At 38.9% G+C, this 12,612-nt stretch overlaps 2 annotated features.

Annotated features, from left to right (window-relative positions):
• Positions 3,674 to 4,233: an enhancer, noted in NCBI's record as "NANOG-H3K27ac-H3K4me1 hESC enhancer chr5:119762631-119763190 (GRCh37/hg19 assembly coordinates)". NCBI's record gives its function as "activates a minimal SCP1, AML or CMV promoter by ChIP-STARR-seq in primed H9 embryonic stem cells {active_cell/tissue: H9 hESC(primed)}" and the evidence as "EXISTENCE:reporter gene assay evidence [ECO:0000049][PMID:30033119]".
• Positions 4,234 to 4,795: an enhancer, noted in NCBI's record as "NANOG-H3K27ac-H3K4me1 hESC enhancer chr5:119762069-119762630 (GRCh37/hg19 assembly coordinates)". NCBI's record gives its function as "activates a minimal SCP1, AML or CMV promoter by ChIP-STARR-seq in naive and primed H9 embryonic stem cells {active_cell/tissue: H9 hESC(naive and primed)}" and the evidence as "EXISTENCE:reporter gene assay evidence [ECO:0000049][PMID:30033119]".

Below are 12,612 nucleotides of genomic sequence, written 5' to 3'. Positions count from 1 at the left end.
AAGGATATCAGAGCTTGAAGACTATCTTGATGAAATAAGACAGGCAGACAAGATTGGAGAAAAAAGAATGAAAAGGAACCAACAAAAGCTTTGAGAACTATGGGATCATGTAAAAAGACTGAACCTACGACAGATGGGGTACCTGAAAGAGATGGGGAGAATGGAACCCAGTTATAAAACACACTTCAGAATATCATCCAGGAGAACTTCCTCAACCTAGCAAGACAGATCAACATTTAAATCCAGGGAATCCAGAGAACCCCAGTAAGATACCCCATGAGAAGATCAACCCCAAGACACACAATCATCAGATCCTCCAAGGTCAAAATGGAGGAAAAAATGTTAAAGGGAAGCCAGAGAGAAGGGCCACATCACCAATAAAGGGAAACCCTTCAGACTAACAGCAGACCTCTTAGCAGAAACACTACAAGCCAGAAGACATTGGAGGCCAATATTCAACATCCTTTAAAAAAAGAATTTCCAATGTAGAATTTCATATCTGGCCAAACTAAACTTCATAAATGAAGAAGGAATAAGATCTTTTTAAGACAAGCAAATGCTGAGGGAATTTATTACCACCAGGCCTGCCTTGCAAGAGCTCCTGAAGGAAGCACTAAATATGGAAATGAAAAACCATTACCAGCCACTACAATAAAACATACTGAGTACACAGACCAATGACACTATGAAGCAAATACATAAACAAGTCTGCAAAATAACCAACTAGCATCATGATGTCAGAATCAAATTCGCACATAACAATGTTAAACTGAAATGTAAATAAGCTAAATACCCAAATTAAAAGACGTAGAGCTGCAGGCTAGAAAAAGAGTCAAAATCCATCAATGTGCTGTATTTAAGAAACCCATCTCACATGGAAAGGCACACATAGACTCAACATAAAAAGATGGAGGAAAATTTACCAAGCAAATGGAAAACAGAAAAAAGCTGGGGTTGCAATCCTAATTCCTGACAAAACAGATTTTAAATCAAAAAAGATTAAAAAAAAAAAAAAAAAAGAAGGGCATTACATAATGGTAAAGGGGTCAATTCAACTAGAAGAGCTAACTATCCTAAATATATATGCACCCAATACAGGAGCACCCAGATATGTAAAACAAGTTCTTAGAGACCTACAAGGAGACTTAGACTCCTACACAATAATAGTGGGAAACTCTGGCACCCCACTGTCAGTATGAGGCAGATCATCGAGACAGAAAATTAGCAAAGATATTCAGGACTTGAACTCAGCTCTGGATCAAGTATACCCGACAGATATCTACAGAACTCCCACCCAAAACAACAGAATATACATTCTTCTTGGTGCCACATGACACTTACTCTAAAACTGATTACATAATTGGAAGTAAAACACTCCTTGGCAAATGCAAAAGAAGTGAAATTGTAACAAACAGTCTCTCAGACCACATCACAATCAAATTATAACTCAAGATTTAAAAATTCACTCAAAACAACACAACTACATGGAAATTGAACAGCCTGCTTCTGAATGACTCCTGGGTAAATATGAAATTAAGACAGAAATCAAGAAGTTCTTTTAAACCAATGAGAACAAAGATACAATGTACCAGCATCTCTGGGACACAGCTAAAGCAGTGTTAAGAGGGAAATTTATAGCATTAAATGCCCACATCAAAAAACTAGAAAGATCTTAAATTGACACTCTATAAAAGAACTAGAGAACCAAGAGCAAACAAACCCCAAAGCTAGCAGAAGACAAGAAATAATCAAGATCAGAGTGGAACTGAAGGTGATAGAGACATGAAAACCCCTTCAAAATATCGATCAATTCAGGAGCTGGTTTTTTGAAAAAAATAATAAAATAGACCACTAGCTAGACTAACAAAGTAGAAGAGAGAAGAATCAAATAGACACGATAAAAAACGATAAAGGGGTATCACCACTAACCCCACAGAAATACAAACAACCATCAGAGAATATTATAAACATCTCTACGCAAATAAACTAGAAAATCTAGAAGAAATGGATAAATTCCCAGACACATACAACCTCCCAACATTGAACCAGGAAGAAATTGAATCCCTGCATAGACCCATAACAAGTTCTGAAATTGAAGCAGTAATAAATAGCTTACCAACCAAAAAAATCCCAGGACCAGATTGATTTACAGCTGAATTCTACCAGAAATATGAAGAGGATTTGATACAATTTTTTATTCTGAAACTACTACAAACAATTGAAAAGGAGGGACTCCTCCCTAACTTATTCTATGAGGCCAGCATCACCCTGATACCAAAATCCTAGCAGCACAGATACAACAATAAAAGAAAACTTCAGGCCAATATCCCTGATGAACATTGATGCAAACAATCTCAATAAAATACTGGCAAACTGAATACAGCAGCACATCAAAAATCTTATCCACCATGATCAAGTTGGCTTCATTCCCAGGATGCAAGGCTGGTTCAACATATGCAAATCAATAATGTAATTAATCACACAAACAGATCTAAAGACAAAAACCACATGATGATCTCAATAGATATAGAAAAGGCCCTCAATAAAATTCAACATACCTTCATGTTAAAAACTCATGATAAACTAGGTATTAAAGGAACATAACTCAAAATAAAAAGAGCCATTTATGATAAAACCACAGCCAATATCATACACAATGGGCAAAACTGGAAGCATTTCCCTTGAAAACCAGCACAAGAAAAGGATGCCCTCTCTCATCACTCCTGTTCAACATAGTATTGGAAGTTCTGGCCAGAGAAATTAGGCAAGAGAAAGAAAGAAGGTGTATTCAAATAGGAAGAGAGAAAGTCAAATTGTCTTTGTTTGCAGATGACATGAACCTATATCTAGAAAACCCCTCATCTCAGCCCGAAAGCTTCTTAAGCTGATAAGCAACTTAAGCAAAATCTCAGGATACAAAATCAATGTGCAGAGCATTCCCATACACCAACAACAGGCAAGCAGAGAGCCAAATAATGAATAAACTCCCATTCACAATTGCTACAAAGAGAATAAAATACCTAGGAACACAGCCAACAAGGAAAGAGAAAGACCTCTTCAAAGAGAGCTACAAACCACTGCTCAAGGAAACCAGAGAGAACACAAACAAAAGGAAAAATATTCCATGTTTGTGGATAAAAAGAATCAATATCATGAAAATGGCCATACTGTTCAACGTAATTTATAGATTCAGTGCTATTTCCATTGAGCTACCACTGACATTCTTCACAGAGTTAGAAAAAACTATATTAAAATTCATAAGAAACAAAAAATGGGCTCATATAACCAAAAAAAATTCTAAGTAAGAAGAACAAAGCTGGAGGTATCATGCTACCAGACTTCAAGCTATACTATAAGGCTACAGTAACCAAAACAGCATAGTACTGGTACAAAAACAGACACATGGACCAACGGAACAGAACGGATAACTCAGACATAAGACCGCATATCTACCGCACATCTGATCTTTGACAAACCTGACAAAAACAAGCAATGGGGAAAGTATTCCCTACTTAATAAATGGCGCTGGGAGAACCGGCTAGCCATATGCAGAAAACTGAAACTGGACCCATTCCTCACATGTTATAAATTAACTCAAGATGGATTAAAGATTTAAATGTAAAACACAAAACTATATAAACTCTAGAAGAAAGTCTAGGAAATACCATTCAGAACATAACCACAGGCAGATTTCATGATGAAATCACCAAAAGCAATTGCAACAAAAGCCAAAATTGACAAATGGAATCTAATTAAACTAAAAAGATTCTGCACAGCAAAAGAAACTATCACCAGAGTGAACATGCAACCTACAGAGTGAGAGAAAATTTTTGCAATCTATCTATCTGACAAAGGTCTAATATCCAGAACCTACAAGGAACTCAAAAAAATTAACAAGAAAAAAACAACACCATTAAAAAGTTGGCAAAGGATCAGAGGAGCCAAGATGGCCGAATAGGAACAGCTCTGGTCTACAGCACCCAGCATAAGCGACGCAGAAGACGGGTGATTTCTGCATTTCCATCTGAGGTACCGGGTTCATCTCACTAGGCAGTGCCAGACAGTGGGCCCAGGTCAGTGGGTGCACGCACCGTGCGTGAGCCGAAGCAGGGCGAGGCATTGCCTCACTCGGGAAGCGCAGGGGGTCAGGGAGTTCCCTTTCCTAGTCAAAGAAAGGGGTGACAGATGGCACCTGGAAGATCGGGTCACTCCCACCCGAATACTGCGCTTTTCCGATGGGCTTAAAAACGGCGCACGAGGAGATTGTGTCCAGCACCTGGCTCGGAGGGTCCTACGCCCACGGAGTCTCACTGATTGCTAGCACAGCAGTCTGGGATCAAACTGCAAGGCGATAGCGAGGCTGGGGGAGGGGCGCCCACCATTGACCAGGCTTGCTTAGGTAAACAAAGCAGCCAGGAAGCTCCAACTGGGTGGAGCCCACCACAGCTCAAGGAGGCCTGCCTGCCTCTGTAGGCTCCACCTCTGGGGGAAGGGCACAGACAAACAAAAAGACAGCAGTAACTTCTGCAGACTTAAGTGTCCCTGTCTGACAGCTTTGAAGAGAGCAGTGGTTCTCCCAGCACGCAGCTGGAGATGTGAGAATGGGCAGACTGCCTCCTCAAGTGGGTCCCTGACCCCTGACCCTCGAGCAGCTAACAGGGAGGCACCCCCTAGCAGGGGCAGACTGACACCTCACACGGCCAGGTACTCCAACAGACCTGCAGCTGAGGGTCCTGTCTGTTAGAAGGAAAACTAACAAACATAAAGGACATCCACACCAAAAACCCATCTGTACATCACCATCATCAAAGACCAAAAGTACATAAAACCACAAAGATGGGGAAAAAACAGAACAGAAAAACTGGAAACTCTAAAAAGCAGAGCACCTCTCCTCCTCCAAAGGAACGCAGTTCCTCACCAGCAACGGAACAAAGCAGGACGGAGAATGACTGACAAGCTGAGAGAAGAAGGCTTCAGAAGATCAAATTACTTCGAGCTACAGGAGGACTTTCAAACCAAAGGCAAAGAAGTTGAAAACTTTGAAAAAAACTTAGAAGAATGTATAACTAGAATAACTAATACAGAGAAGTGCTTAAAGGAGCTGATGCAGCTGAAAACCAAGGCTTGAGAACTACATGAAGAATGCAGAAGCCTCAGGAGCTGATGCGATCAACTGGAAGAAAGGGTATCAGTGATGGAAGATGAAATGAATGAAATAATGAAGTGAGAAGGGAAGTTCAGAGAAAAAAGAATAAAAAGAAATGAGCAAAGCCAGCAAGAAATATGGGACTATGTGAAAAGACCAAATCTACGTCTGATTGGTGTACCTGAAAGTGACGGGGAGAATGGAACCAAGTTGGAAAACACTCTGCAGGATATTATCCAGGAGAACTTCCCCAATCTAGCAAGGCAGGCCAACATTCAGATTCAGGAAATACAGAGAACGCCACAAAGATACTCCTCGAGAAAAGCAACTCCAAGACACATAATTGTCAGACTCACCAAAGTTGAAATGAAGGAAAAAATGTTAAGAGCAGCCAGAGAGAAAGGTCAGGTTACCCTCAAAGGGAAGCCCATCACACTAACAGCAGATCTCTCAGCAGAAACTCTACAAGCTACAAGAGAGTGGGGGCCAATATTCAACATTCTTAAAGAAAAGAATTTTCAACCCAGAATTTCATATCCAGCCAAACTAAGCTTCATAAGTGAAGGAGAAATAAAAAACTTTACAGACAAGCAAATGCTGAGAGATTTTGTCACCACCAGGCCTGCCCTACAAGAGGTCCTGAAGGAAGCGCTAAACATGGAAAGGAACAACCGGTACCAGCCGCTGCAAAATCATGCCAAAATGTAAAGACCATCGAGGCTAGGAAGAAACTGCATCAACTAACGAGCAAAATAACCAGCTAACATCATAATGACAGGATCAAATTCACACATAACAATATTAGCTTTAAATGTAAATGGACTACATGCTCCAATTAAAAGACACAGACTGGCAAATTGGATAAAGAGTCAAGACGCATCAGTGTGCTATATTCAGGAAACCCATCTCATGTGCAGAGACACACATAGGCTCAAAATAAAAGGATGGAGGAAGATCTACCAAGCAAATGGAAAACAAAAAAAGGCAGGGGTTGCAATCCTAGTCTCCGATAAAACAGACTTTAAACCCACAAAGATCAAGAGACAAAGAAGGCCATTACATAATGGTAAAGGGATCAATTCAACAAGAAGAGCTAACAATCCTAAATGTATATGCACCCAATACAGGAGCACCCAGATTCATAAAGCAAGTCCTGAGTGACCTACAAAGAGACTTAGACTCCCACACATTAATAATGGGAGACTTTAACACCCCACTGTCAACATTAGACAGATCAACGAGACAGAAAGTCAACAAAGATACCCAGGAATTGAACTCAGCTCTGCACCAAGCAGACCTAGTAGACATCTACAGACCTCTCCACCCCAAATCAACAGAATATACATTTTTATCAGCACCACACCACACCTATTCCAAAATTGACCACATACTTGGAAGTAAAGCTCTCCTCAGCAAATGTAAAAGAACAGAAATTAGAACAAACTATCTCTCAGACCACAGTGCAATCAAACTAGAAGTCAGGATTAAGAATCTCACTCAAAACCACTCAACTACATGGAAACTGAACAGCCTGCTCCTGAATGACTACTGGGTACATAATGAAATGAATGCAGAAATAAAGATGTTCTTTGAAACCAACGAGAACAAAGACACAACATAACAGAATCTCTGGGACGTATTCAAAGCAGTGTGTAGAGGGAAATTTATAGCACTAAAGGCCCACAGAGAAAGCAGGAAAGATCCAAAATTGACACCCTAACATCACAATTAAAAGAACTAGAAAAGCAAGAGCAAACACATTCAAAAGCTAGCAGAAGGTAAGAAATAACTAAAATCAGAGCAGAACTGAAGGAAATAGAGACACAAAAAACCCTTCAAAAAATTAATGAATCCAGGAGCTGGTTTTTTGAAAGGATCAACAAAATTCATAGACTGCTAGCAAGACTAACAAAGAAAAAAAGAGAAAAGAATCAAATAGACGCAATAAAAAATGATAAAGGGGATGTCACCACTGATCCCACAGAAATACAAACTGCCATCAGAGAATACTACAAACACCTCTATGCAAATAAACTAGAAAATCTAGAAGAAATGGATAAATTCCTCGACGCATACACCCTCCCAAGACAAAACCAGGAAGAAGTTGAATCTCTGAATAGACCAATAACAGGACCTGAAATTGTGGCAATAATCAATAGCTTACCAACCAAAAAGAGTCCAGGACCAGATGGATTCACAGCCGAATTCTACCAGAGGTACAAGGAGGAACGGGTACCATTCCTTCTGAAACTATTCCAATCAATAGAAAAAGAGGGAATCCTCCCTAACTCATTTTATGAGGCCAGCATCATCCTGATACCAAAGCCTGGCAGAGACACAACCAAAAAAGAGAATTTTAGACCAATATCCTTGATGAACATTGATGCAAAAATCCTCAATAAAATACTGGCAAACGAAATCCAGCAGCACATCAAAAAGCTTATCCACCATGATCAAGTGGGCTTCATCCCTGGGATGCAAGGCTGGTTCAATATACGCAAATGAATAAAACTAATCCAGCATATTAACAGAACCAAAGATGAAAACCACATGATTATCTCAATAGATGCAGAAAAGGCCTTTAACAAAATTCAACAACCCTTCATGCTAAAAACTCTCAATAAATTAGGTATTGATGGGACGTATTTCAAAATAATAAGAGCTATCTATGACAAACCCACAGCCAATATCATACTGAATGGGCAAAAACTGGAAGCATTCCCTTTGAAAACTGGCACAAGACAGGAATGCCCTCTCTCACCACTCCTATTCAACATAGTGTTGGAAGTTCTGGCCAGGGCAATTAGGCAGGAGAAGGAAATAAAGGGTATTCAATTAGGAAAAGAGGAAGTCAAATTGTCCCTGTTTGTAGACTACATGATTGTACATCTAGAAAACCCCATCATCTCAGCCCAAAATCTCCTTAAGCTGATAAGCAACTTCAGCAAAGTCTCAGGATACAAAATCAATGTACAAAAATCACAAGCATTCTTATACACCAACAACAGACAAACAGAGAGCCAAATCATGAGTGAACTCCCATTCACAATTGCTTCAAAGAGAATAAAATACCTAGGAATCCAACTTACAAGGGATGTGAAGGACCTCTTCGAGGAGAACGATAAACCACTGCTCAAGGAAATAAAAGAGGATACAAACAAATGGAAGAACATTCCATGCTCATGGGTAGGAAGAATCAATATCGTGAAAATGGCCATACTGCCCAAGGTAATTTACAGATTCAATGCCATCCCCATCAAGCTACCAATGACTTTCTTCACAGAATTGGAAAAAACTACCTTAAAGTTTATATGGAACCAAAAAAGAGCCCGCATCGCCAAGTCAATCCTAAGCCAAAAGAACAAAGCTGGAGGTATCACGCTACCTGACTTCAAACTATACTACAAGGCTACAGTAACCAAAACAGCATGGTACTGGTACCAAAACAGAGATATAGATCAATGGAACAGAACAGAGCCCTCAGAAATAATGCCGCATATCTACAACTATCTGATCTTTGACAAACCTGACAAAAACAAGCAATGGGGAAAGGATTCCCTATTTAATAAATGGTGCTGGGAAAACTAGCTAGCCATATGTAGAAAGCTGAAACTGGATCCCTCCTTACACCTTATATAAAAATCAATTCAAGATGGATTAAAGACTTAAACGTTAGACCTAAAACCATAAAAACCATAGAAGAAAACCTAGGCATTACCATTCAGGACATAGGCATAGGCAAGGACTTCATGTCTAAAACACCAAAAGCAATGGCAACAAAAGGCAAAATTGACAAATGGGATCTAATTAAACTAAAGAGCTTCTGCACAGCAAAAGAAACTACCATCAGAGTGAACGGGCAACCTACAAAATGGGAGAAAATTTTTGCAACCTACTCATCTGACAAAGGGCTAATATCCAGAATCTACAATGAACTCAAACAAATTTACAAGAAAAAAACAAAAAAACCCATCAAAAAGTGGGCAAAGGACATAAACAGACACTTCTCAAAAGAAGACATTTATGCAGCCAAAAACACATGAAAAAATGCTCAGCGTCACTGGCCATCAGAGAAATGCAAGTCAAAACCACAATGAGATACCATCTCACACCAGTTAGAATGGCAATCATTAAAATGTCAGGAAACAACAGGTGCTGGAGAGGATATGGAGAAATAGGAACACTTTTACACTGTTGGTGGGACTGTAAACTAGGTCAACCATTGTGGAAGTCAGTGTGGCGATTCCTCAGGGATCTAGAACTAGAAATGCCATTTGACCCAGCCATCCCATTACTGGGTATACACCCAAAGGGCTATAAATCATACTACTATAAAGACACATGCACACGTATGTTTATTGCGGCATTATTCACAATAGCAAAGACTTGGAACCAACCCAAATGTCCAACAATGATAGACTGGATTAAGAAAATGTGGCACATATACACCATGGAATACTATGCAGACATAAAATAAGATGAGTTTATGTCCTTTGTAGGGACATGGATGAAATTGGAAATAATCATTCTCAGTAAACTATCGCAAGAACAAAAAACCAAACACCGCATATTCTCACTCATAGGTGGGAATTGAACAATGAGAACACATGGACACAGGAAGGGGAACATCACACTCTGGGGACTGTTGTGGGTTGTGGGTAGGGGGCGGAGGGATAGCATTGGGAGATATACCTAATGCTAGATGACGAGTTAGTGGGTGCAGTGCACCAGCATGGCACATGTATACATATGTTACTAACCTGCACATTGTGCACATGTAGCCTAAAACTTAAAGTATAATAATAATAAATAAATAAATTAATTAATTTAAAAAAAGTTGGCAAAGGACATGAACAGACACTTCTCAAAAGAAGACATTCATGCAGCCAAAAAACATGTGAAAAAAGCTCAACATCACCGATCGTTAGAGAAATGCAAATAAACTACAATGAGACACCATCTCATGCCAGTCAGAATGGCAGTTATTAAAAAGTCAGGAAACAACAGATGCTGGTGAGGTTGTGGAGAAATTAAAAAAAATAAAAACTGGACCCCTTCCTCACACGTTATAAATGAACTCAAGATGTAGTTTTACACTGTTAGTGGGAATGTTGATTAGTTCTACCTTTGTGGAAAACTGTGTGGTGATTCCTCAACGATCTGGAAGCAGAAATGCCATTCAACCCAGCAATCCCATTACTGGATATATACCCAAAGTAATATGAATTATTCTGTTACAAAGATACATGCATGTGTATGGTCATTACAACACTATTCACAATAGCAAAGACATTGAAGCAACCACAATGCCCATCAATGATAGACTGGATAAACAAAATGTGGTATGTATACATGATGGAATACAGTGCAGCCATAAAAAGGAATGAGATCATGTCCTTTACAGGAACATGGATGGAACTGGAAGCCATTATCCTCAGCAAATAAATGCAGGAACAGAAAACCAAACACCACATGTTCTCATTTATAAGTGGGAGCTGAATAATGAGAACACATGGACACAGGGAGGGGAACAACATACACTGGGGCCTATCGGGGGTGAGGTGGGGTGAGCAAAAGCATTAGGTAAAATAGCTAATGCATGCTGGGCTTAATGCCTAAGTGATGGGTTGATAGGTGCAGCAAACCACCATGGCACATGTTTACCTATGTAACAAACCTGTGCATCCTACACATGTACCCCAGAACTAAAAATAAAAATTTTTAAAAAAGTAAAACCATAGCACCTTCTGAAAAAATTTTTAGGATGAATGGCATAACGTTTTGTCTCTTAGCATAGAAAAAAATATTTACTGAATATAAGATATAGAAAACAATCAGGTTTTATAATATGCAGTGTTTCCCAACAAAGTCTATATTTCTGGAAAATAATATTTTACATGTTAGGATAATATTCATGCTTTTGAAGATATCAATCTTTATATGCACTAGAGCTTTTAACATGATGCATGATACCAGGTAGATTTTCAATAAATATTTATAGATTACATTATTTTTCAGCAAATGTATAATTTTACTTTAAGAAACTTTAAATATTCTGTCTTACTAAAGGTGATTATTAAATTCTCAAACCAAACATGTATTACCTGCTTTGGACATTTCTCTGAATGAGAAAAGGAAATCTTCACCCGTGATATTCACACCACATCCCCTGTCACTATATCCCCTTAACATCAGTTAAGTAGACCCCATCAAAACCACTCTCAAATCCTCTCCTCAATTGCCTCTTAGCACACTCCAGCTCCTAGTCACTTAAACGTCACTCCCAGAGACAGTGCCCAGGCCTTGCCCAAATTCTTAGACTTACAGCAATTTTCTCACCTGATAAACCTATACGAGAGTCTCATTTTCTAATTTAAAGCCCTGTTTACCTATCCCCATCTTCTCCTCACTGCACCACAGCTTCTAAATTGATGATTTCTTCTACTTTTATTCTAATAATTAAGAGATGGGTTCCTCTTTTAGTGTTTGACCTGGCGGCTTTCAGATTCCCATCTTTCTTTCCTGCTACCCGACACTGGGCAACTAAGATAAAGGAGTTTCTGTGCTCCACTCATCCTTTGCAGCTGGGTACAAACTCTGTGGTGAATTCCCACCCTGCATGTGGTCTCTTCTCCAGCCACAACCCCTAGCCATTATAAGGACCCCAACGTCTGCTCTCTGCTTTTCTCTTGTTTCGCTTCTTTCAAAATCTGAGCCCTTCACCTTGGGAAATATTTTTGTGGCTTACTGTGTGAGTAATAAAATTCATTTCATACCCATTAGTGCCTACATGTCATTTGTCCTGGCATCTGTTATAAATTCTTAGGAGTAATTTATAGCAGGAGACACTAGTCACCCAAATAAAACAATTCTTTTACATTTTTTTATGCCAAATAAATCTTAACCTTGTTATTCATACTTTTCATTCAAAATATTAAAATTATTACTTATTTTCTTTGTGTCCAATGCAGACATTTATCTAACAATGCAGGATATAATGTATATAATAAATGTCTCCACCTACACAAATGGTTCTCTGTCTTGTTGTGAAGACTATTAGTAGCCAAAATTAAATCCTATGTTCTTATGTGATTGGTATATTCAAATAGTACTTAATCGATTCTACTTAATTTGTACATATATGGATTTAATTAAAATGGAAATAAACAGCATAGCAAAAATATGGTTTTTTTACCCTCTAAAGACTAACATTGTATCTTACACTTGATTGTTCAGTACCATTTCTTGATAATACGATATTCGTTTTTTCAGTTTGTTTTGTATCATGGCTTAGTACATTCACATGCCTCAAGGTCTAATCCCTCATTGAAGTTATTCTTTCAAGCACTCATTGAAGTTATTCTTTCAAGCCCCCTTCCTCAGTTTGTTCTCCTTGTATATTAATCTAGTGGCAGATTTGTGTGTATAGCTCTTGTGTGGATTAGCAGTCATTTCTTTAACATTAC

The sequence above is a fragment of the Homo sapiens genome, chromosome 5 (assembly GCF_000001405.40).
Source record: "Homo sapiens chromosome 5, GRCh38.p14 Primary Assembly".
Classification (NCBI taxonomy): domain Eukaryota; kingdom Metazoa; phylum Chordata; class Mammalia; order Primates; family Hominidae; genus Homo; species Homo sapiens.
This window is presented reverse-complemented; position numbering and strand designations above follow the sequence as displayed.